At 40.1% G+C, this 27,238-nt stretch overlaps 1 protein-coding gene across 1 annotated transcript in view, besides 2 other annotated features; it reads left to right on the forward strand.

Moving 5' to 3' along the window:
* Positions 1 to 27,238, forward strand: part of ZC2HC1B (zinc finger C2HC-type containing 1B) — a 73,870-nt gene that overhangs the window by 1,150 nt on the left and 45,482 nt on the right. Inside the window, exons 2-4 of the mRNA NM_001013623.3 lie at positions 18,681 to 18,742; positions 20,409 to 20,528; positions 21,060 to 21,198. Coding sequence (NP_001013645.1) covers positions 18,681 to 18,742; positions 20,409 to 20,528; positions 21,060 to 21,198 — 321 coding nt within the window. The remainder of the gene's footprint in view (positions 1 to 18,680; positions 18,743 to 20,408; positions 20,529 to 21,059; positions 21,199 to 27,238) is intronic.
* Positions 855 to 1,055: a silencer, noted in NCBI's record as "peak6180 fragment used in MPRA reporter construct". NCBI's record gives its function as "represses an SCP1 promoter by STARR-seq MPRAs in K562 erythroleukemia cells {active_cell/tissue: K562}" and the evidence as "EXISTENCE:reporter gene assay evidence [ECO:0000049][PMID:32103011]".
* Positions 12,975 to 13,175: a silencer, noted in NCBI's record as "peak6181 fragment used in MPRA reporter construct". NCBI's record gives its function as "represses an SCP1 promoter by STARR-seq MPRAs in K562 erythroleukemia cells {active_cell/tissue: K562}" and the evidence as "EXISTENCE:reporter gene assay evidence [ECO:0000049][PMID:32103011]".

Raw genomic sequence — 27,238 nt, forward strand, 5'->3', positions numbered from 1 at the left:
TTAGGTCTGGAAGGGTGCCTGGCATTCAGTATACAGTCACAAAGTAGTGTATGAATGAATGGATAGATGGGAAAGATTTCAGAAAAGAATTAAACATAGAACCATAGCAGGGCCTAGAATCACTGGGGTTAGGGAGGAGAGAAAGGCCTAAGAGATCCAGGCAGGGGGCAAAATCTTGAAGAATTTGTATCTTAAACTTTTTTTTTTTGCCAAGACAGGTCTTGCTCTGGCGCCCGAGCTGGAGCGCAGTAGTGCGATCTCATCTCACTGCAACCTCCAACTCCCGGGTTCAGGCGATTCCCCTGCCTCAGCCTCCCGAGTAGCTGGGATTACAGGTGTGCACCACCATGCCCAGCTAATTTTTGTATTCTTAGTAGAGACAGGGTTTCGCCATGTTGGCCAGGCTGGTCTCAAAACTCTTGACCTTATGATCCGCCCGCCTCGGCCTCCCAAAGTGCTGGGATTACAGGCATGAGCCGCCAACACCCGGCCCACCTATTTTGTTTAAGCACTGCCCGTGAATGGTGTAAAACCACTTGGATATCATAGTACCACAGATGCTCCTTGACTCGTGGTGGGATTATGCCCTGATAAGCCCACCATAAGCTGAAAACATGGTAAGCCAAAAATGCATTTACTACACCTAACCTACTGAACATCATAGCTCAGCCTAGCCTACCTTAAACTTGCTCAGAATACTTTCCATTAGCCCACAGTTGTGCAAAACCATCTGGCAATACAGCACGCTGTAGAGTTATCAATTTGCCCTCGTGATCACATGGCTGACTGGGAGCAGTGGCTCACCACTGCTGCCCAGCATCACGAGAGGATTGTACCACTTTCTACTGAATACATATGCTTTCTCACCATCATGGAAAAATTGTTAACTTGAACCATCATAAGTTGAGGACTGTCTGTTACTTTACAAGTCTAAGTGTCTGAAGTGCAGTTACCGCTTGTGTCTATTACCTGTGATGCCCTGTATCTACATCTCCATTTTGATGTCATCAAGTCACCTCAGTTGAAAGAACTCTAACCTCTTGTAACTTTACTGTTACATTTTCAATAATTTTATGTTACTTCTTCATGTGGGTTGACATTGGTATGCTTTATCAGTCTTGTTCCAGTTAAAGGGCAGAGAAGGTAGAAATTCTAATGGCCTTGCATTTTAATTGTGAAACTTACAGGAGAATATTTAAAGCAAACACAGGGCCACTGTTCAAGTTAAGAAATAGAACATAGAAGTCCCCTGTGAATCCATCCTTGATTTCATTTCACTCTTTCCCCTCAGGTAATTCTTGCATAGTATCCAGCTGTCATAGAAGTTGAACATCTCTAATCCAAAATCCAAAAACGTTGAGTGCCAATGTGAGACAACAAATAGAAAATACCGTGTATAAGTACTTAATACAAGCTTTGTTTCATGCACAAAAGTATTTAAAATATTGCAAAAAGTTACTTTCAGGCTGTGTGTGTAAGGTGACATACGAAATAAAGTGTTTAGACTTGGGTCCCATCCCCATGATATCTTGTTCCAAAGTCTGAAAAAAAATCTGAAACACTTCTGGTCCCAAGCATTTTGGATAAGGGATACTTAACCTGCATTAAGTATTTCCTTCTTTTTTAAAGCCACTTGTATAGTATCCTTAAACACAACATCTTGTTTCATTTTGAACAACTGAAATAAACAAACTTAGCTTTTTGAGGTCAGTGTTTGCTACCAATTAGATGAAAGCATCCTAGGGAAGATGAACTGTGAACAGTCCCTGGGTCTGACTTCCATTTCCAGAGTTTACAAGAACCCATGTTTAGATGTCAGTGAGCAAGGTGATGAGTGAGTTTTAGGGAACAAGTCACAGTTTAGGCATCCAGGATCTGCAGAAATATGCTTAGAGGATTGCATTCTTGTTTTATATTTTCTGCTTCTAAACTCACCCTGACCTCTCAAGATCAATGCAGAACCTTCCTATGGGGTGAAATGAGTGTCTCCAACTGATCTAGAGATCAGGACACAAAAGGGAGAGCAGGCACTTTATTAGAATATAGCCAAACATGACAAGTGTAGAACAAAATGGGAGCCAGACTTCCTTGAATATACTATCTTGAGATTATGAAGGCAGTGAATATCTTAGTCGTGATAGCCGTCAACACGTCTGTCTCTAATCACACACCTCAAACCTCGACTGGTTGCTCTTTGGTTGTTGTGCCCAGCTATCATACTGGGAATTCCCTTTTCTCTATCCAGTCTATAATTGCCTTTTCCTATATCTCATTCACATGCTTGTGGATCACGTCCTCCAGTAATTCATGAAATGGGGTACAGGGGATGTAGACTTTTTGGGAACTTGGATGTCTGGAAATATATTCTACTCTTATGTTGGATTGACAGCTTGACTGAATATAGAATTCTTGGTTGTAGATTATTTTACCTCAGAAGTTTAAAGGGTTTCTTCCATTTGTTTCCATTTCCAATTTTGCTTTTTGGGAATCTGAAGCCATCCTGATTGCTGATCATTTGTATCTGATTTTTCTTTGGAAGTCTGTAGAATCTGTCTTCACTGTTCTGAAACTTCCATTTTACTGAGTCTTTTAAATCAGAAGGTGTATTAGGGTTCTCTAGAGGGATGGAACTAATAGGCTAGATCTGTATATAAAGGGGAATTTATTAAGTATTAACTCACAATCACAAGGTCCCACAATAGGCCGTCTGCAAGCTGAGGAGCAAGGACAACCAGTACAGTGCCAAAACTGAAGAACTTGGAGTTCAATGTTTGAGGGCAGGAAGCATCCAGCACAGGAGAAAGATGTAGGCTGGGAGGCTAGGCCAGTCTAGTCTTTTCACATTTTTTTTTTCTGCCTGCTTTAGATTCGATCTGCGCTGGCAGGTGACTAGGTGGTGCCCACCCAGATTAAGGATGAGTCTGCCTTCCCCAGCCCACTAACTCAAATGTTAATCTCCTCTGGTAACACCCTCTCAGACACACCCAGGATCAATAACTTTGCATCCTTCTTTCCAATCAGGTTGACACTCAGTATTAACCATCACAAGTCTACCTCTTGTCAACTTCAACCCATACCCATCTCCTGAGATCATACATAATCTTCAAATAAAGACAATAATAAGGTCATAATTATGCCTAACGTAATACAACTATCCTTAATACAACCAGAAATGCACCAATCCCCAACCCAAATACTATTACATAAAGTTAACAATTCTTAAATGCTGATGCGAAGTCAATAAATCTTATGTCACATGATGAAGGAAAAAGTAAATAAAATGAAGATATCTTCTTAGTACACGTGTGTACATGCACAAACATGTTTTTAACAAAAGAAGGAGGAAATACTAATGACAATTACAGTCCTCATTTCTGCAGCTGGTCACGTGGTCATAGCTGGTATTGATGACTACATTCTTCTACTACCCATTCTGTATTCCCTTTTTCTTCAGCAAGCACCTCAGCAGGTCATGGTTTTTTCCTGGTGGAGTGACCCAAACCTTCATTCCTGAAGGGTCTGGGCCATTTGTAGTCCTGCCTGGATTAGGCTGTTGTAGTTTCCCATTGACCTGAATCACAGGACATGGTAATACTAAGAGACACCCTAATAGATCTCCTGTATTCCATGCCTACTCTTCCTTACCTCTGTTGTGGAGTAGTAGAGCATACACGATCTTCTGGAGAACTTTACCCCAGCCCTTCAACGTATTGTCACCTAGTTGTTGTAATTGTGACTTCAAAAGGCCATCCCACCGTTATATCAATCCAACTGCTTCAGGATGATGAAGAACATGGTGAGACCAGTGAATTCCATGAGCATGCGCCCACTGCTGCACTTCTTTATCTGTAAAGTGAGTGCCTCTCTCTCTGTAAAGAGAGGCAATGCTGTGTGGAATACCATGACAGTGGATAAGGCATGCTATGAGTCCATGGATGGTAGTCTTGGCAGAAGCATTGCATGGAGGATAGGCAAACCCATATCCAGAGTGAGTGTTTATTCCAGTGAGGAGAAACCTCTGCCTTTTCCATGATGGAAGAGGTTCAATGTAATCAACCTGCCAGCAGGTAGCTGGCTGATCACCCTGAGAAGTGGTGCCATATCGAGGTCTCAGTGTTGGTCTCTGCTGCTGGCAAATTGGGCACTCAGCAGTGGCTGTAGTCAGGTCAGCTTTGGTGAGTGGAAGTCCATGTTGCTGAGTCCATGCATAACCTTCATTCCTGCCACCATGGCCACTTTGTTCATGGGCCCATTGGGCGACAACAGGGGTGGCTGGGGAAAGAGGCTGAGTGGTGTCCACAGAACGGGTCATCCTATCCACTTGATTATTAAAATCCTCCTCTGCTGAGGTCACCAGTTGGTGAGCATTCACATGGGATACAAATATCTTTCCAGTTTTTGACCACTCAGAGAGGTCCATCCACATACCTCTTCCCCAAATTTCTTTGTCACCAATTTTCCAATCATGCTTCTTCCAAGTCCCTGACTATCCAGCCAAACTACTGGCAACAGCCCATGAATCAGTATATAATTGCACATCTGACCATTTCTCCTTTCATGCAAAGTGCACAAGCAAGTGCACTGTTCAAAGTTCTGCCCACTGGGAAAATTTTCCCTCACCACTTTCAGGGATGTCCTAGGAAGGGGCTGTCCTTCAGGGATGTCCTAGAAAGGCAGCTGTCCACTTTTGGGTGGTGCCTCCATATTGTGCAGAACCATCTGTGAACCGGGCTCTAGTCTTCTCTTTTTCTGTCAACTGATCATAGAGAACTCCTCATGAGGCCATTGGTGCAGGCTAGGGGAGAGAAGGCAAGGTGGCAGGAGTCTCCACCTTGGGCATTTGAGCCACTTCCTCATGTAACTTACTTGTGCCTTTAGGACCTGCTTGAGTCCAATCATGTATATACACTTCCATTTGATGATGGATGCTGCTGTGCATGACCCACTTTATGGCTAGATGGGTCAGAAAGCACTCAGTTCATGATAGGCAGGTCAGGTTGCATGGTGACTTGATGACCCACAGTCAAACGTTCAGTTTCCACCAAAGCCCAGTAACAGGCCAAGAGCTGTCTCTCAAAAGAAGAGTAATTATCTGTAGAAGATGGCAGAGCCTTGCTCCAAAATCCTAGAGGCCTCCACTGTGATTCACCTTTGGGGGCCTGCCAAAGGCTCCAAACAGCATCGCCATCTGCCACTGACACCTCAAGTACCATTGGATCTGCTGGGTCATATGGCCCAATTGACAGAGCAGCTTGCACAGCAGCCTGGACCTGTTGTAGAGCCTTCTCCTGTTCTGGACCCCACTCAAAACTGGCAGCTTCAGGTCACTTGATAAATGGGCCGGATTAACACACCCACATGAGAAATGTGTTGCCTCCAAAATCCAAATAGATCCACTAGACATTGTGCCTCTTTCTTGGTGGTAGGAGGGGCCAAATGCAGCAACTTATCCTTCATCTTAGAAGGAATATCTCAACAGGACCCATACCACTGGACCCCTAGAAATTTTATTGTGGAAGAAGTTCCCTAAATTTTCATCAGATTTCCCATCCTCTGGCACGCAAATATCTCACCAATAAGTCCAGTGTGTTTACTACTTCTTGCTCACTGGATCCAGTCAGCATAATGTCATCAATGTAATGGACCAGTGTGATACCTTGTGGAAGCAAAAAGTGATCAAGGTCTCTCTGAATAAGATTATGACACAAAGCCAAACAGTTAATATACCTCTGAGGTAGAACAGTAAAGGTATATTGCTGGCCTTGCCAGCTGAAGGCAAATTGCTTCTGGTGGGCCTTACAGACAGGAATGGAGAAAAGGGCATTTGCCAAGTCAATGGCTGCATACCAGGTACCAAGAAATGTGTTAATTGGCTCAAACAATGAAACCACATCTGGTACAGCAGCTGCAGTTGGAGTCATCACTTGGTTAAGCTTATGATAATCCACTCTCATTCTTCCAGATCCATCTGTCTTCTGCACAGGCCAAATGGGAGAGTTGAACAGGGATGTGGTAGGAATCACCACCCTGAGTCTTTCAAGTCCTTGATGGTGGTACTAATCGCCACAGTCTCTGCAGGGATGTGATACTGTTTTTGATTTACTATTTTTCTAGGTAAAGACAGTGCTTATGGCTTCCATTTGGCCTTTCTCACCATAATAATCCTCACCCGACCAATCAGGGAGCCAATGTGGGGGTTCTGCCAGCTGCTAAGTATGTCTATGCCAATTTTGCATTCTGGCACTGGGGAAATGACCACAGGATGAGTCCAGGGATCCACTGGACCCACTGTAATTCGGACCTGAGCTGAAACTCCATTATTACCTGACCTCCATAAGCCCGTACGTTAACTGGAGGACCATAATGACGTTTTGGGTCCCCTGGAATCAACATCAGCTCAGAGCCAGTGTCCAGTAGTTTCCGAAATGTCTGATCATTTCCTTTTTCCCCAATGCATAGTTACCCTGGTACAAGGCCAGAGGTCTTCTTGGGGAAGGATGGGAGAAAGATTAACAGCATAAATTGTCAGTAGTGTAATGGAGTCCTTTTTCAAGGGGACCCGGCCTCCCCTTCATTCAAGCAGCTCTGGGTTCGTAAACTGGCTCAAGTCTGGAAATTAAGGGGCCATGATTCTCTGTTTTTATAATTCAGATTAGTCTTTTGTCCATTTGACCTAGAAGTTTTCTGCTTATATAAATTAAGTAAAAATACAGTAGGCTTCCTTTCAGTTTCACTTCTAGAAACACTGTGATTAGTCAGTGCCAGAGCTCTATATGTGTCAGACTATTCTGATTGTTGCCACTTTGCCTCTGCAGTCCATTACAGTAGCTACATCCACCTTGCCTTTGATGGCTGAGTGCTGCCACTTGGCCCCTGCCACCTCGGGATCCAAATATTCCCACTATATTTATTTTTTATTTTTTAAATTTATGTATTAGTCTATTTTCATGCTGCTGATAAAGACATACCTGAGACTGGGAAGAAAAAGAGGTTTAATCAGACTTACAGTTCCACATGGCTGGGGAGGCCTCAGAATCATGGCAGAAGGCAAAAGGCACTACTTACATGGTGGCAGCAAGAGAAAATGAGGAAAAAGCAAAAGTGGAAATCCCTCATAAATCCATCAGATCTCATGAGACTCAATCACTATCATAAGAATAGCATGGGAAAGACCGGCCCCCATTTAGTTATCTTCCTCTGGGTCCCTCCCACAACACACAAGAATTCTGGGAGATAAAATTCAAGTGGAGATTTGGGTAGGGACACAACCAAACCATATCATTCTGCCCCTGGCCCCTGAAAATCTCATGTCCTCACATTTCAAAACCAATCATGCCTCCCCAACAGTCTCCCAAAGTCTTAACTCATTTCAGCATTAATCCAAAACTCCACAGTCCAAAGTCTCATCTGAAACAAGGCAAGTCCCTTCCACCTATGAACTGTAAAATCAAAAGCAAGCTAGTTACTTCCTAGATAAAATGAGGGTGCAGGTATTGGGTAAATACAGCCATTTCAAATGGGAGAAACTGGCCAAAACAAAGGGGTTACAGGGCCCATGCAAATGTGAAATCCAGCAGGGCAGTCAAATTTTACAGTTCCAAAATGATCTCCTTTGACTCCATGTCTCACATCCAGGTCATGCTGATGCAAGAGGTGGGTTCCCAAGGTCTTGGCAGCTCTGCCTCTGTGGCTTTGCAGGGTACAGCCTCCTTCCTGCCTGCTTTCATGGGTTGGTGTTGAGTGTCCATGGCTTTTCGAGCCACACAGTTCAAGCTGTCAGTGGATCTACCATTCTGGGGTCTGGAGGACAGTGGCCCTCTTCTCACAGCTCCACCAGGGACTCTGTGTGGGGGCTCTACCCCCAGATTTCCCTTCCTCACTGCCCTAGCAGAGGTTCTCCATGAGGACCCCACCCCTGCAGCAAACTTTTGCCTGAGAATCCAGGCGTTTCCATACATCTTCTGAAATCTAGGGGGAAGTTCCCAAACCTCAATTCTTCACTTCTGTGCACCCGCAAGCTCAACACCATATGGAAGCTGCCAAGGCTTGGGGCTTCCACCCTCTGAAGGCATAGCCCGAGCTGTACATTGGCCCCAATCAGCCACAGCTGAAGTGGCTGGGACACAGGGCACCAAGTCCCTAGGCTGTACATGGGTACCCTGGGCCCTGCCCCAGGAAACCACTTTTTCCTCCTAGACCTCTGGGCGTTCGATGGGAGGGGCTGCTGTGAAGGTCTCTGAAATGGCCTGGAGACATTTTTTCCATGGTCTTGGGGATTAACATTAGACTCCTTGCTACTTATGCAAATTTCTGCAGCTGGCTTTAATTTCTTCTCAAAAAATGGGTTTTCCTTTTCTACTGCATCATCAAGTTGCAAATTTTCTGAACTTTTATCGTCTATTTCCCTTTTAAAATGGAATATTTTTAACAGCACCCAAGTCACCTTTTGATGCTTTCCTGCTTAGAAATTTCTTCCACCAGGTACCCTACGTCATATCTCTCAAGTTCAAATTTCCACAAATCTCTAGGGCGGGGCGAAATGCCATCAGTCTCTTTGATAAAAAATAACAAGAGTCACCCTTGCTTCAGTTCCCAACAAGTTCCTCATCTCCATCTGAGATCACCTCAACCTGGACCTTATTGTTCATATCACCATCAGCATTTTGTCAAAGCCATTCAACAAGTCTCTTGGAGGTTCCAAGCTTTCCCACATTTTCCTGTCTTCTTCTGAGCCCTCCAAACTGTTCCAACCTCTGCCTGTTACCCAGTTCCAAAGTCACTTCCACATTTTCGGGTATCTTTTCAGGAACACCCCACTCTACTGGTACCAATTTACTGTATTAGTCTGTTTTCACACTGCTGATAAAGACATACCTGAGACTGGGAAGAAAAAGAGGTATAATTGGACTTACAGTACCACATGGCTGGGGAGGACTCAGAATCATGGCAGGAGGTGAAAGGCATTTCTTACATGGTGGCAGCAAGAGAAAATGAGGAAGAAGCAAAAGTGGAAACCCCTGAAAAACCCATCAGATCTCATGAGACTCATTTACTATCACAAGAACAGCATGGGAAAGACCAGCCCCCATGATTCAATTACCTTCCCCTGGGTCCCTCCCACAACATGTGGTAATTCTCAGAGATACAATTCAAGTTGAGAGTTTGGTGGAGACAGAACCAAATCATATCAATTTATTTATTTATTCTTTTATTTATTTTTTGTTTTTGAGATGAGGTCTCTTTCTGTTACCCAGACTGCAGTGCAGTGGCAAAATCTCAGCTCACTGCAACCACCACCTCCCAGGTTCAAAGGATTCTCCCGCCTCAGCCCCCCGGGTATGTGGGACTGCAGGTGCTCACCACCACTTCCAGCTAATTTTTGTATTTTTAGTAGAGACAGGGTTTCATCATATTGGCCAGGGTGGTCTCGAACTCCTGACCTCAAGTGATCTGCCCACCTCAGCTTTCCAGAGTGTTCAGATTACAGGCATGAGCCACCACTGCACCTGGCCTATTCCCATTGTTTTTAAATTTTGTAGTTGAGTGACTGTGTATCCCACTGTTAGATGTGACATACAGAGAAAGGCAATTACAGGGATCTTCAGAGATGCAGGTGCTGCCCTCACAAATCTGTTTTACAAGGCCTTGGTCAAGGGTATATTTTCTGGACCCTCCCTGATGGGATGAGTAGGTCTAAAGTGACTAATCCACTCCACCATCATTATGCCTTTGGATCCCTTCTTCTACATTAAACCAAGAGAGATCAGGCATTTCCAGCTTGCTCCCAGTGGGCCATCTTTTAATCCATATTTCAGCTAACCAAGCAAATAAACTATTAGAATTTTTTTTAACTCCCTGAGCTGCAACAGTAAATGCAGAGTCTCTACTAGTGTCCCCAAATCTATAAATTCAGCCCGATCCAACTCTATGTTCCTTCCACCATTATACCACACCCTTAATATCCATTCCCATGCCTGTTCTCCAGATTTCTGTTTATATAAGTTAGAAAACAATTCTTTTCGAGTGTATCGCACCTCCTCATGGGTCACATTCTCAACCTCACCTCTAGGGCCCCACAGGAATTTTGTCTATAGATCTAGAAGCAAACAGAGGTGTTGGAGGTGGTTTCTGAGGAGAATCAACATTATCTTGCCTGGCAACTGTCTCAGGGGAGGCCATCACTGTTGCCTCAGGCAGCACAGGGTTTATCTCCTCAGACAAAGGTGGAAAGGCTGACAGCAGCACGGGTCGGAGAAGGGATGTTGCTACCACTGGGGAGGGGGAAGCTGTTTCTTCTGGCAAAAAAGCCTCATCAGAGTTTACAAACTCAGTGTCCCCAGCTTCATCAGGGTCTTCCCATATGTCCCCATTCAAAGTTGCAGGGTCCCATTCTTTTCTAATCAATTCCCTCACTTTAACAGTAGACACTTGGCAAGGCTGTGCATGCACCTTTCATTGCAGGTCAGCCACTTGCATGATAAGAGCTTGTATCTGTTTTTCCACAATTTCAGCTCTTTCTCTACAGGAGATAAGACTCTCACTCAGGGCAATCTTAGGAGATTTGAGGCTTAGTATCTGCTTCTGAAGCTGGGAGTTAAAATCCCTGAATTCATCATTTTCTTTCATTACTCTGTCCCCTGAACTTAGGAGCAACCAACCAGCTTCATTATGTTCCTTGGTTCTCCACATGTGGTCAAAGGTATTATGTATAGAGTAACTAAACTCCTTGCCTCTCATGAGCAATGAATCAGGAGTGTCAAATGCATTTATTTTGTGTAACTCTCTAAACAGTTCATGCCAAAGTCTATCAGTGTTCTGCATACTATTAGAAGTAGAGTCATTAGCATTTTTGGGTCTAATTATATTAAGCAGCCAACTCCAGAAACCCCAAAACCAATGAAAGAACCCCATTCTTAATATTCTGTTCTTCTAGAACTCCTGGTACAAAAATCTGTATTAGTCAGGGTTCTCTAGAGAGACAGAACTAATAGGAAATATATATAAGGGGAATATATATATAAAGGGAAATGTATTAAGTATTAACTCACATGATCACAAGGTCCCACAATAGGCCATCTGCAAGCTGAGGAGCAAGGAGAGCCAGTCTGAGTCCCAAAACTGAAGAACTTGGAGTCTGATGTTCAAGGGCTAGAAGCATCCAGCACAGGAGAAAGGTGTAGGCTAGGAGGTTAGGCCAGTCTAGTTTTTTTCGTATTTTTCTGCCTGCTTTATATTCTAGCCTTGCTGGCAGCTGATTAGATGGTGCCCACTGAGATTGAGGGTGGGTCTGCCTTTCCCAGCCCACTGACTCAAGTGTTAATCTCCTTTGGCAACACCCTCACAGACACACCCACGATGAATACTTTGCATCCTTCAATTCAGTCAAGTTGACACTCAATATTAACCACCACAGGAGGTTTATGTCCTTCTTTTTTGGAAATAATTAAAAATTATTTTTATTCTCTTCCTTGTATTTTCTCCTTTTTCTCTCTTGAAGTATTATTTGGAGTAGACCCGTCTGGACTGGTATTCTAATTTGCTTGTTTCTTTCCCATTTCTATGCCATTTTACTTTATTTTCTGGGAGATTTTCCTAATTTTATCTTTCAACTCTCTGTTGAGTTTTTCTCCTAAAGATTTTTTTAATTTCTTTTTTTTTTTTTTTTTTTTTTTTTTTGAGACAGAGTTTTGCTCTTTTTGCCCAGCCTGGAGTGCAATGGCGCCATCTCAGTTCACCAAAACCTCCACCTCCTGGGTTCAAGCTATTCTCCTGCCTCAGCCTCCTGAGTAGCTGGAATTACAGGCATGTACCACCACGCCTGGCTAATTTTTGTATTTTTAGTAGAGACAGGGTTTCTCCATGTTGGTCAGGCTGGTCTCAAACTACCAACCTCGGGTGATCCGCCCGCCTCTGCCTCCCAAAGTGCTGGGATTACAGGCGTGAGCCACTGTGCCCAGCAAGACTTTTTTAATTTCTAAGAGTTATAATTTTCCTTTAATTTTTTTTTTGTCTGTTTTGGACTTACCTGCTAGAGACGTTCTTCAGATCTTTGGAAATTCCTGTCTGTTTGCTCATCATTAAGACTGGAAGAGGAAAAAAATGGAAATAATGAACAAGTGAGCAGTATTTCATGACTGAGCTGTATTGTAGGGTGGTCTGAGTGAGCTGTTTGGGAATCTCCCAATATCAGTATCTTTACATATTTGCTAGTGGAATAATTTGATTCCCAGAGAAGTTACATTTTGCCCTGAGGGTAAGGGTTTGGCAAGCAGAGTCCTCTAAGCCAAGTAGAAGAAGATGGGCATGTGGATATTCTCTGCTTTCAGTATCACTATTCATGAAATTAATCACTAGATTGTATATATGTACCTGTATACATGTATATGTAGACATGCATACATATATAGCTGATTCTTGTTATTCATGGATTCCCTGTTTGCAAATTTACCTACTTGCTAAAACTTACTTGTAACCCTAACATCAGTACTTGTGGCACTTTTACAGTCATTTGCAGACATGCACATAGTGATAAAAAAGTTGAGTCATTCAGCACATTTTCCCAGTTGAGGGTGAACAAGGTAGTACTCTACTTTCTTGTTTTAGTGTTCATAATGTACTCAAGTTCCTTCCATGGGCTATTTAGTGCCACATTTTCCACATTTTTGTGCTTTTTCTTTGGTGATTTCACTGTTTAAAATGGCCATGTTAGCCAGGTGTGGTGGTGTGGGCCTGTGCTCCCAGCTACTCAGGAGGCTGAGGTGGGAGGATCGCTTGAATCCAGGAGGCAGAGGTTGCAGTGTGCCAAGATCGCACCACTGTACTCCAGCCTGGGTGACAGAGCAAGACCTTGTCTCAAAGGCGGAAGGGGAGGGGAAAGGCTGCCTAGAACATTGCTGAAGTGCTGTCTAGTGTTCCTAAGCTCAAGGCTGTGATTTGCCCTAAGGAGAAAATATGTGCATTAGGTAAACATTCAGTCATGAGTTACAGCACTATTGGCATGAGTTCAACATTACTGAATCAACACTATAAAGAAGGTGTCTTTAAACAGAAACATGCATAAAACAAGGTTTTGTATTGATCCATTAACAAAAATGTTGTGACCAGAGACTCACAGGAACCTAACCCTATATTTCCCCTAGGAGCCACAGTTCAGTATTTGCTAATTCAGTGCTCACAGTGACTTTATAGAACTTAACTACCAAAAATAATGAGAATTGACTGTATGTCTGTATCTATACCTACCTATCTGTGTTTGCTGTATACTCATGCCTTCAGACATGCCTTATATTGACTAATGCACAGACTGCATATTTTTTCCTTTCCAGAAAGTAGAATCACCTAGAGACAGGGAAGGGCATTTATCCAAGGAGTAGGAGACTTGCGGTGTGGGGCAGGGGTTGGGGGCAGGGCGCGATCTAGGAATCTTAACTTCTTTCAAACAGCTTTCCCCTTGGTCCTCCATATTTTGACAGTCTCTTCCTCCTCATTCGCCTGCCTCAGTTTTAGAGGTACATGCTGTCCAGGAGTTGCTGTGACTTTTAAGAGTCTGTAGTGTGAATCTGGATGGTTCTCAGTTCTCCCTTACTGTTAGTTTGGGAAGTAGAGTTTGGTGTTGCTTTAAGTCCTCCAAGTCAGTTACAATGTCTATTAGCTTTCCAAATTTTAGGTTTCTTGTTTTCTTTCCTCCCTGTCCTATGTTTCTATGTCCCTTTGTCACTTTACTATAGCTTTATTGGGGTTTAGGGAGAAAGCAAAATTAGACGGGAAGCTCTAAATTAGATAGGATCTGCTATCCTGAGTCTTAATTCTTTTTCTTATCTTATGACTTATGTTCCTGAGATAAATTTTATTGGTAAGTTGAGGCCGTTATTCCACCCCCTTGCCATAGGGCCTAGGAAGATGTTGATATTGCTAAATATTTGCATGTTCTGGACTGCAAAGAACTGAAGAGTTCTGTGATTTGCAGGCATCTGAATGAGAAAGTGTCTTCCTTTTTTCTTCTCTACCATGCTCCTTTAAGAAAATGTGAATAGCTTAGTTCTCTACAAAGCATTCTTAACTTCCAGCTCAAGAAAGAGAATATCTGGTCAAAAGTAAAGTAAAACTTTTTCAATTTTAATCTAACCCTAATTCTCTCCATGCTTCTTTGTAATGTTTGTTTGTTTTTGTTTTTTTTTTTTTCCTGCTCAAGTTGTCCCTGATTTTTTTTTTTTTTTTTTTTTTTTTGAGACAGGGTCTAGCTCTGTTGCCCAGCAGGCACAATCAATCATGGCTCACTGCAACCTCAGCCTCCTGGACTCAAGTGATTCTTTGGCCTCAGCCTCCTGAGTAACTGGGACCACAAGTGCATGCTACCATGCCTGGCTAATTTTTAAAATTTTTTGTAGAGATGAGAGTCTCACTGTGTTTCCCAGGCTGGTATTGAACTCCTGGGCTCAAGCAATCCTCTCACCTTAGCCTCCCAAATATGCTGGGATTACAGTTGTGAGCCACCATTCCTGGCCTATGTTTTATTTTTGATGTGTTAAACAAAGCTTTATCACTCCCAGATTACTTTCTGTTACTCATTTTTAACATTTTCAAAGATTATAAACCAATGTTTAAAAATAATAGCCACTATAATAGTTTACCAAGTATGATTCCAGATAGAGAGGAAAAAGAAATCTCTGAGGTGATACTCATTGTTTTAGAACATTTTCTTCCAAAGGGTTTCTTTTTATTTTTTGAAAGGCACTCATTTGTTCTGATTTTTAAAATAGTGATGCATAATTTTCATTAAAAGTTTGGAAATACAGAAAACTAAAAGTAATATTCATCTTTATTCATACCCAAAGTAATTACTCTGTGTGTGCCCTTCCAGTCTTTATTAGTAAATATGTGAACAAAATGTTTCATTAATATTTTTCCATGTTATTCTCCCACAAATTCCTTTAAATTAATATAAAAATGGTTCAGCAATTTTTGGCAACCTATTTCTGTCAGAGGCCAAGTAGCATAATTTTTGGCTTTGCAGGTCATATGGCCTTCATCGAAAGTATTAAACTCTGCTGTTGGAGCAGGAAAGCAGCAATAAATGCTATGTATACAAATGAGCATGGCTGTGTTCCTATAAAACTTTATTTACAAAAAAAAAAGGCGTCAGATTTGGCCCACTGGCTACAGTTTGCTGACCCCTAGATATTGTTTTTAAACTTTTTATTTTGCCGTAATTATAGTTTTACAAAATGTTACAAAATAGCACAGAGAGATGCTGTATGCCATTTACCCAGTTTTCCCTAAGTTACATCTTAAATAACTATAGTACAATATCAAAACCAGGAAACTAACATTAGTATATGGTGTGTTCAGAGTCTGTACCATTTGATAACACGCAGAACCACCTCACAGTGAAGATACACAACTATTCCATCACACAGAGATCTCCCTCATTCTAACCCCATAGAATCACAACCACCTTCCACCCCACTCCCACTCATCTTTATCCTTTTACAGTCTCTAATCTGTGTCCTATCTCTCTAATTTTTGTCATTTTTTAATAAGTTGTGCAGGTGAAATCACACAGTATGTGACCTTTGAAGATGGGCTCGTTTCACCCAGCATTGAAATCCATCCAGATTATTGCATGTATCAGTGGTGTTCTTTTTCAGCTGGGCACGGTGGCTTACACCTGCAATCCCAATACTTTGGGAGGCCAAGGTGGGAGGACTGCTTGAGCCCAAGAGTTCGAGACCAGTCTAAGCAATATAGTGAGACCCCGTCTCCACAAAAAATAAAAAAGCTAGCTGGGTGTGGTGGCACATGCCTGTTGTCCTAGCTACTCAAGAAGCTGAGGTGGGAGGATTGCTTGAGTCCAGAAAGTAGAGGCTGTAATGAGCCGTGATCATCCCACTGTACCCTAGCCTGGGTGAAAGACCGAGACCCTGTCTCAAAAAAAAAAAAAAAAAAAAAAAAAAAGAAAAAGTGGTCTTTTTATTGCTGAGCAGTATTCCAGGCTATAGATGTACCACAGTTTGTTTAACCGTTCACCTACTGAAAGGCATTTTAGAAGTCTCAAAAGGTTCTTTTAATGTTCTAGCAATCACATATTCCATGTGATTCAATACACAGAAACAAACACTGCAGACCACATTGATCTCCCTGTTTGATTCAGCTGGCTAGGTAAGTGTTCCCTTCCTTCCTTATACTCAAGCTTCTGAGTTGAATGTGGTTCAGAAGGTGGTGGTCCATCTGTATCCAAGTATTGAATTGAATCATATCATTTGTATCTGTCAGTATTTTAAATTCATTGACTCACTGATTTCAACCAGAGGTCATTGATCCTCTAGGGACTTCTAGTTGTTTTCAGGTGAGTACTAACATCTCTCTAGTTGTAGTGACGGTTGAATTAACAGTCTTAATACTTGGAAAGAGACTCAAATTCAAGTCTCAGTATTACCACTTACTACCTGCAGTCTTAGAGAAGTTGCCTACTTGGGCCTCCGTTTTCTCATTTGTAAAATAGAAATAGTACTAACCCTGTCTTATAGGGTCACTGTAAGGATCACATGAGATAACATAGGAAAACACCACACAAATGTTACTGTAATATTCATAAAAATAGATTATCCTTCACTAGTGTTTTAGAAAGAGCAGCAGTAGTTTTATAATCAAGATGAGTAGTTTCAGGTTGTGGTACCCTTGCTTAAAATATGTATACATATTTTATATTTTTTATATATATATATATATATATATATATATATATATTTAGATGAAGTTTTACAAACTGCACCAAAAGAACAGGGAGGGCAAGAGGTATTTCTGTGTGCTGTGATGGATGGCCTGTGTTGAAAATACAATACCAATTAGTAGATGTGACAAGAAATCATTTAAATCAACAATGTCTGTAGCAGGCTACCCATCTGCTTCCTGTTAACTAGGGCTTCCTTTTTCAAACTGTCTTCCTTCAATTTCCATGACCCTGTTCTCTCCTGTTTCTCCTCCTGGCTTATCATCATCATTTTCTTGGCCTTAAATATAAGTTTCCCTAAGGATCATCTCTGCACTTCTCTTTCCATGACTTCTTCCCTGGCAATATCATGCCTTTACTTCATTTCTCAAAGCCTACATCTGTGTCTCTAACCCTGACCTCCCTCATTTCCATCCTGCTGGCCGGACAACTCTATTTCAACTCAGTGTTTCCAAAGCTGAAGTCATTTTTCTTCCTAAGATGGCCCTTCTTTTCAAGTTTCCTGTTTCTATCCCACACTCCCAGCATCTTCTCAGTCCTTCTGCCTCTAAACGTAGAATAGTCCTCAAGCATTCTTTTCTCTTTGCCACCTCCTAACTCCCACAAATCTAATCAGGCTGTTGACTCTTTGATACAGAATCACTCATCTCCTATTTCCTTTCCATTTCAGGCCTCCACCTTCAGCTTTTTTGTGTGTAAGTGGGGGAGACAGGATCTTGCTCTGTCTCCCAGGCTGGAGTGCAGTGTTATGATCATGGCTCACTGCAACTTCTGCCTCCTGGGCTCAAGTGATCCTCTCACCTCAGCCTCCTGAGTAGCTGGGACCACAGGCGCGAGCCACCAAGCCCAACTAATTTTTTATTTTGTGTAGAGACACAATCTCCCTATGTTGCCCAAGCTGGTCTCGAATCCTTAGGCTCAAGCAATCCTCCTGCTTCAGCCTCCCATAGTGTTGGGATTACAGGCGTGAGCCACCACACCTGACCCACCTGCAGCTTTTTCACTAAACTCCGCTCTTCTCCCACTATACTCGCAATCCATTTGCCCCTTCTTGCCTTTCTCACATCTATCTTCCACAGCTCTGTTTAATTCTTCCAACTTAATGTCCCTTGTTGCTTTCTTTGCATGTAGAGTAAAGCCCAGATGACTGGTCTAATATAAAGTCTATGCTCAGACCTCAAACTGCTTTTTTTATTAACCTAAGACATCATAGCTTTGATAGAAGTGCTTTTTAAATCTTTACATATTTGACTCCTGATGAACCAAAAGGAAGTAATACAAAAAACCTTTTTTCAGAATTTCATAATATTTTGCTTTTCTCATGATACTTTTCCAATGTCATTAATTTATCTGCATACTTTTTTTCTGTGCTGGTCCCATGTATGATTTCTCCCAATATTTCCACAGAATTGCATATAGCCAATATCTATTTATCGAATGAATGTTTCTATGTTAGAAATTCAATTCTTGCTTGGCCCATGCATTCAACCAATACCTTGAGTACCTTACTATGGGTCAAGTACTTGCATTGGGCATAAAATAGGCACAGTCTCAGCTTTCACAGAACTTACATTCTAGTAGGAGTCCCAAAGATGTTACCACTGGTGGTAAAAATACCACCTTATACTAAGGTATTTTTTTGCTTATGTCTCAAGCAAAGTTATCAGGCACTTCATGTAAGAATATATTAAATATTAAATCAAATAATTATACTCTGGTTGCCTGAAGGATATGGAATTTACTTGTTTAGTGAAGTGAGGAGTTTATATCAGGAAAGGAAAACACAGGTGAGTTTAGTTTACACAGGGTCTTCCCAAAGGGAAGAAGCAGTTGGTGGGGAGGGAAAAGAGAGTGAGGATATCAAGCTATTGAGGTCACCTCCAGTCAGTCATTTCTTCTCAGCGAGGAAATTCCATGAAACTAACATAATGTGCTCTTGAATTTTACACAGATGGCAATCAGGAATTGTTTCCCTGTGAAGTCTGTGGAAGACGTTTTGCAGCAGATGTTCTGGTAAACATAAAGACATTTTGTAGATGTGTTTCATTGGACTTAAATGAACTGTCAAGTCAGTGAGGAGGCGGCAGTGCAAAGATTAAAGACAGATGTGGAGGGGAAGCAAGGGAAGAGGAAAAGTACATAACCTATGGCTGGTGGGCCCAGAGAACACTGAGGCAGATTGATGCTGCCTCATTCAAGAGCGACCCTATTAAACATGGTCCTCCTGAAATGATGCCAGATGGAAGTCTCTTGGCATCGTCAATGATCCCTCAAGAGGTTTTGGCTCTTCCACCTTTTCTTTAAGCATCGAAAATTCAAATTTCAAGGCCAAAGCACCAGGGAAATTAGCTAGTCAAGAGGAATGAGCATTGAATTTTAGACATCTGGAAACCTGGCTTTTAGCCTCAAATTTGTCACTAATCCTGACAAGTCCTTTAACCTTCCTGTTTTCTGCTTTGCCACGTATACAGAACCTTCAAATTTGAGGGTTTTTATACCATTTGAACAAAATGATACATGGATGTAAGTCCTGTTCCAAGATCTAATTGTTGTACAGATTCAAGCTAACGGCATGTCAAGTCCCCGATTGATGGCTATAAAGTTGAATAAAAGCTTGATTTATTTCAAAATTAGGGAATCAAATAGATGGTATGCCCCAATATTATAAAGGGGTTCCCAAGAAAGATGATTTTTTTTCAAAAAGAAAATCTAAGATGATAATACAGCTGTCAGTTGGGACATTTTAGATAAAGGAGACTTATCTGGAACTTAAAGGATGTGGACTGTAAGCCTGACTATGTTTTGGACAAAAGACTATAAAATGAGGTTGTAGGTTTTATTTTTCTGGAGAATTTAAAAAATGAAATAGCTGTCTTTTAGTTAACTGTGGTTAGAGCCTCCTGAAACTAGAGGGAGAGCTTGCGGGGCTGGTTGTGGCCCTGTAGTCCACCAGTGTGTGTCACTGCCTTTGCCAGACTGGAGCCACACCCCCTGAGAATTAGTTTGAGACCTGGGAGGTTCCATTTGCAGAGGGATCTCTAAATGTCAGGTACATCTTGGATACTTTTGAGTTTCATTTCCTAAGCCTATTTCTAGGCTATGGAGGGCATTGATCAAATGATTTGATCTTTCTCTCTCCTTTAGCTTAAAATGGATGGCTTGTTCTTAGCCAGTGCAGTGATTTTTATAGAGCTTGTATTTTGTGGGGTCTGACAAAGCTACTGTGTCAATGATGGTTATTATGTGTCACACATCCACGAAGGGAGAGGGCCAAGGTCCCATAGTGGTACAGTAGCACATTTTATACAGGTGGTACACAGGGAAAGCTCTGCATGTTAGCTCTTCAGTTTTTGTATCAGAAATGTTGAATACTTGAAGGACTACTGATTGGAGTAAAGAACATACTGCCCACATTTGAGTTAAATATATAAACCCAAATTTGAAGTAAGTCTTTTAGCTATAAAGGCATTTTATTGTCTTTGCTCAAGCACAATATCTAGTTATATGTAACATGGATGAGAAGAGCCAGATGGATTTGCTCTGCTGTGACCTGTTAGAGAATGAACTAGGCTCTGAGGAGCAAACATAGTCCCTGGAGTGGGGGCTGTCTAGGTACACCTAGGCATTAAAAACTGATTGTGCACTTTAGAAATTCCAATCCCTACTCTTCGTTTTCTAGGAAAGGCATGGACCAATATGTAAGAAACTCTTCAACAGAAAGCGTAAACCTTTCAGTTCTTTGAAGCAAAGATTACAGGGCACTGACATTCCTACTGTGAAGAAGACTCCACAATCCAAGGTACTCCTGATATCTTCTTTAGTGTTTGTTATTACATTCTGCGGTACTGTAAGGCCTATTTCTGGGATTTCTGGTTTCATTTTTGCTTGATAATACAGTAATGTAATGTAACTGTAATCCACCTTTACTTTTTTCTTTATAATCTTGCTCACTTAGATTTCCAGATATACTTCAGATATTTTCCAGATGTAGCAAAAAATAATCTTGTTTATGTTTTCATTAGAGTGGCTTTAAATCTAGCAATTAACCTGAGAAGAAAGTCACTTTTAATCTACATTTGCTTTTCTTTAAAGTTTTATAGTTTCTTTATTTTTCTGATTTTTATTTTGTGTTTTCCCTCACTCTTGTGGCTTGCAAATTATATTACTGTACTTTCCAAACCTCTTTAAGGAGTACTTTTGAAAAACAAACTCTCCTTTTCCCCAATTTTCACAGTTCTGTTTCCTGTGAATTCAAATTCCAGCTTTAAACAAAATTGTAATGGAGAGGTATATAGTCTAGGGTATTATTTGTTGGTTTTATTTTTTACAGTCTCCACCTGTGAGGAAGTCTAACTGGAGACAACAACATGAAGACTTTATTAATGCAATCCGATCAGCAAAGCAGTGTATGCTAGCCATTAAAGAAGGCCGACCCCTCCCACCTCCACCCCCTCCATCCTTGAACCCAGGTGTGTAGACATTTTGGGTTGCTTTTGAGGCTATGCTTGACTTTTGACCAAATCATCATGCCCTCTATGCACTCTGAAATTGACAATAACAATTACATAGAAGTAATTTTATTAATTATATAAAAGTAAACATCCTATTTTTTTCAATTCTGCATAAAGATTCTGTGTTTCCTTCTAACTCTGTCTCAACGTGGGAACACCACTGTAGCTGTGCTGTAGTATTACATGACTCCAAGAAACACCAGACACCTCTTAGCCGATAGGTATGGAGCTATGCAGAGCAAACTAACCAACTCTGCAACAGCCCCATCGTGTCAGATACCCACAGCAATTTTTTTTTTCCAGGTAAAATTCCCAAAACATGAAATTTAGCATTTTAACCATTTGAAGCTGTACAATTTAGTACCCACAGCTTTTTTTACTGGAAACATTTTATTTGAAAATTTAAAAATCTACAGAAAAGAGGAAGGAATAGTACACATGCCCTCCACTGAAATTTGGCAATTGTTGACGCTGTTGCCATAATTTCTCCTTTATCTTTTTTTCTTTGGCAGAACCATTTAAAAGTAAGTTCCAAGCATCATTAATACTTTAGCTATTTTAGTATGCGTCTCTTAAGTATGAGTTCCTTTTCCTGCATAATCACAATACTATTATCACACTTGATATATATTAATATGTTTTCCCAATTAGCTTAAGAATGGTTTTTAAAGCTCTCTTCTCACCCATGTTCAGCCACAACCCAGGATCCAATCACAGTTTACATATTACCTTTTGTTATCTCTTCGGTCTTTATTAAATCTTGAACAATATCCCTACCAGGCTATTCACCTTTTAGAATGTCTCATGTTCTGTATTTCTCCACTTATTTAGTCATATTGTTAAATTTTTTCCTCTATCTCATCTTTATGTAAACTGAAAGTTAGGGCTAGAATCTCAATGAGATTAGCATAAATATTAATATAAGATTATTAATATATCAATATTAATCTTATCAGATACAATACATGATTTGCAAATATTGTCTCCAGTTCTGTGGACTGTCTTTTTCTCTCTCTCTTGATAATAGCCTTTAATACACAAAAGTTTTTCATTTTGATGATGTCCAGTGTATCTGTTTTTTCTTTTGTTGCCTGTGCTTTTGATGTCATATCCAGAAATTAATCACCAAACCTACATCATGAAACTTGCCCATGCTTTCTTCTTTTAGTTTTAGCTCTTATGTTTAGATTTTTTAAAATCTATTTTAAGTCGATTTTTGTGTGTAATATAAGTTTCCAACATCGTTTTTTTGCATGTGGATATCCAGTTATCTCAGCACCATTTGTTAAAGAGACTTTTCTTCCCCATTGAATAATCTTGGCACCATTATCAAAAGTCACTTGACCATATGTTTGAGGATTTATTCCTGGGCTCTCTGTTCTATTCCATTGGTCTATATGTCTGTCTTTACACCAGTACCAAACTGTTTTGAATACTGTAGTATTCTAGTAATTTTTGACATCAGGAAGTTTGAGTTCTGCAAAATATACTCAAGTTTGTTTTTGCTATTCAAGGTCCTTTGAGAGTCCATATGAATTTTAGGATTTTTGTTCTATTTCTGTAAAAATATTATAATGAGATTTTTTAGGGATTGAACTGAATATATAGAATGTTTTGGGTACTATTGTCATCTTAACAATATTAAGTTTTCCAATCCATGAACATGGGATATCTTTCTATTATTTACATCTTCTTTAATTTCTTTTAGCAAAATATTGTAGTTTTCAATGGACAAGTCTTTCACCTCATTGGTTAAATTTATTTCTAAGTATTTTATTCATTTTGACATTATTATAAATGGAGTTGTTAACTTTCTTTTCATATTGTTCATTTTTAGTGTATAAAAATATAATGGATCTTTGTATGTTGACTTTGTATCCTGTAACTTGTGCTGAATTCATTTATAATATTATTGCTGATAGTGTTTTTGTGGAATCTATAGGATTTTATACAATAAGATTATGTCACCTGAAACAGAGATAAGTTTACTTCCCCCTTCCCAATTGATATGTCTTTTATTTCTTTTTCGAACCTAAATCCTCTGGCTAGAACTTTTCGTACTATATCGAATAGGAGTGGCAAAAGTAGACATCCTTGTCTTGTGTTTTCCATTGAGGATAATATCAACTATGGGTTACTAGTTACTTTTTAAAGCATAAATAATAGCATATAATGGGTATTATAACATGGAAGTGAAATGTATGAAAACAATAGCACAAGGTTGAGTGAGGAAAATGGACATATATTGTAAGGTTCTTATATTATACATGAATAGGTATAGTGTCATTTAAAGGTAGACTATCATATGGTAAAGATACCTATTGTAAACTCTAGAGTAACCACTAAAAAATATTGCTATTTAGCTAATAAGACAATACATGGAGTAGAGATAAAAAATGCAAAAAAATTCAATCCAAAGGGGGAAAAAGGCACAAAGAGCAAGGTGGGATAAAGACAGATAACAAGATGGTAGACTTAAACCTAACCATATGCATAATTGCATATTAATGGCCTACACATTCCAGATAAAAGACAGAAATTGTCAAACTGAATAATAAAGCAAGACCCAACTATAAGTATTCCATAAGAAAAACACATTGATATAAAGACACAAATAAGAGCACGGGAAAAGATATACATGCAGACAATAATCATAAAGCTGGAATGACTGTATTAATATAGCACAAAGTTAACTGCAGGGCAAGTATTAACAGATGATGATTCAAATGATAAATACATCAAGAAGACCTATCAGTTTTAAATGTTTATGTACCTAGTAACAGAGCTTCTAAGAATGTGAAACAAAAACTGACAAAACTGGAAGGAGAAGTAGACAAATTCACAATTATATTTGGAGATTTTATCACTCTTCTCTTAGTAACTGATAGAATACACAGCAGGAAAATCAGTAAAGATATAGAAGAGTTGAGCAGCAGTAACCAATTTGACCTAATTGACATTTATACTTATCCTATGACACATAGCCACAGCAGAAGACAGTGTTTTCAAGTATACGTGGAACAGTCACCTAAGAGAGACCATTACAGGACCACAAAGTAGGTCTCAAATTTAGAATTGAAATCATACATAATATGTTCTCTGATCAGAATAGAATTAAATTAGAAATGTATGACAAAAATATATCTGGAAAATTCCTGAATATTTGGAAATCAACAAGTCATTTCTAAATAACCCTTGGATCTAAGAAGAAATCACAAGAGAAATTAGAAAATAGTTTTAACTGAATGATAATGAAAACATCTAACTTTGTGGGATGCAGCTTAATTCATTCTTAGAGGGAATTTTATAGCTTTAAATGTTTATAATAGAAAAGAGAAAAGTTTTAGTTCAATTATCTTAAACTTTCTCTTTAAAAGATTAGGAAAAGAGCAAATGAGACCTAAATTAGGTCAAAAGAAGAAAATGATGTAATCCATCAAATTAACAAAATATTTTTAAAAGCATATGATCATCTCAATAGAGAAAAAGCCTTCCACAAAGTGTAATTCCTTACATGTTAAAAACAATACAATACAAAAAAAAAAAAAAAAACTTCTCAGCAAGATAGAATTAGAAAGGAACTTCCTCCATAAAGGTCATCCTTGAGAAATCTACAGCTAACATCACACTTAATAGTGAAAAACTGAACACTTTCCCACTGAGATCAGGAAAAAAACAAGGATATTCATTCTGACCACTTCTATTCAACACTGTACTATTGATAATGCTCAGTGTAATAAGGCAAGAAATGAATTAAAATATTATATTTACATGTAAAAAGCATGTAAATTGGGGAAGAAGATGTAAAACTATCTTTATTCACAGACAACATAATTGTGAATGAGTAAATATAGAAAATTCTAGGGAACTACAAAAAAGCTACTGGAATTAAAGTGAATTTAACAACATTTCAGGATATAAGGTATAAACAAGTGAGTTGTAGTTCTATATACTAGGCATAAACAATTAAAAAATGAAATTTAAGGCTGGGCGCAGTGGCTCATACCTGTAATTCCAGCACTTTGGGAGGCCGAGGCAGGTGGATCACGAGGTCAGGTGTTCGAGACCAGACTGGCCAAGATGGTGAAACCCCGTCTCTACTAAAAAAAATACAAAAATTAGCCGGGTGCAGTGGTGGGTACCTGTAATCCCAGTTACTCGGGAGGCTGAGGCAGGAGAATCACTTGCACCCAGGAGGCAGAGGTTGCAGTAAGCTGAGATCGCACCACTGCAGTCTATCCTGGGTGACAGAGCAAGACTCCATCTCAAAAAAAAAAAAAAAGAAATTTAATAAATTTATAATAACATAAAAATAGTAAATATTTAGGGGTGTATTTAACAAAATATATGCAGAACCTATAAAATGAAAATCTCATAGCATTCCTTCAAGAAATTAAAGAGGACCAGAATAAATGATGAGATTTACCATTTTTCTGGTTTGGAAGACTCAAGATTGTGTTATGATGTCAATTCTACCCAAATTAACCTATGGATTCAATGTAATTCCACTAGAAATACCTAGAAGTTATTTTTGCTGAGTAGAAATTGACTAGCTGGCCAGGCGTGGTGGCTCACACCTATAATCCCAGCACTTTGGGAGGCCGAGGCAGGTGGATCACTTGAGGTCAAGAGTTTGAGACCAGCTTGGTCAACACAGTGAAACCCCATCTCTACTAAAAACACAAAAAATTAGCTGGATGTGGTGGTGGGCATTTGTAATCCCTGCTACTCAGGAGACTGAGGGAGGAGAATCCGGGAGGCAGAGGTTGCAGTGAGCAGAGATGGCACCACTGCACTCCAGTCTGGGTGACAAGAGCGAAACTCTGTCTCAAAAAAAAAAAAAAAGAAAGAAAAAAGAAAAAAAAGAAATTGACTAGCTGATTCAAAGATTTTATGGAACTGGAAAGGATCTGGAATAGGCAATATAGTTTTTAAAAAGCACAAAATTGGAGTATTTACATTACCTGATGTCAAGACTTATTATAACAGTACAGTGATCATGACAACTTGGTATGGTGTATCAATTTAACAGAAAATAGAATCTAGATATAGACACCCCCCTATCTGTGGGTAATTGATTTTCTTAAAAGATGCCAAGGTAATTCACTGGGTGAAAGGCTAGTCTTATCAACAAATGATGGTAGAACAACTGGATATCCATATGGAAAAATGAACCTTGATTCTTATACCATTGTCTTAATCTGTTTGTGTTGCTATAAAGAAATACCTGAGGCTGGGTAATTTATAAAGAAAAGGGGGTTTTTTGGCTCACAGTTCTGCAGGTTGTACAAGAAGCATGGCACTGGCATCTGCTTCTCTCGAGGATCTCAGGAAGTCTCCAATCATGATGGAAGGTGAAGGGGAGCAGGCATCACATGTCAAGAGAGAAAGCAAGAGGGAAGGGAAGGAGGTGGGAAGGAGGAGTGACAGGCTCTTTTTTTTTTTTTTTTCAGAGGGAGTCTCACTATGTCACCCAGGCTGGAGTGCAGTGGCATGATCTCAGCTCACTGCAACCTCTGCCTCCCACACTCAAGCTATCCTCCCACCTCAGCCTCCTGAGTAGCTGGGACCACAGATGTATGCCACTGTGCCTGGCTAATTTTTTTGTATTTTTGGTAGAGGTGGGGTTTCTCCATGTTGCCCAGGCTGGTCTTGAATTCCTGAACTCAAGCAATCCGCCTGCCTCGGCCTCTCAAAGTGTTGGGATTACAGGCGTGAGCCACTGCGCCCAGCCCAGGCTCTTCTTAACAATAAGTTATGATGGGAGCTAATAGAGCAAGAACTTACTCCTTAGCAAAAGGACAGTACCAAGCTTGTTCATAATACATCCACCCCCATGATCCAAACACCTCACACTAGGACTGCCTCCGACACTGAAGATCAAATTTCAACATGAGATTTGAAGAGGACAAATATCTAAACTATATCAACCATATATAAAAAGTCATTCAAAAAGGATCATTGACCTAATATAATTGTTACAACTAAAGGCCAACAA

Source organism: Homo sapiens, chromosome 6 (assembly GCF_000001405.40).
Source record: "Homo sapiens chromosome 6, GRCh38.p14 Primary Assembly".
In the NCBI taxonomy this organism is placed as follows: Eukaryota; Metazoa; Chordata; class Mammalia; order Primates; family Hominidae; genus Homo; species Homo sapiens.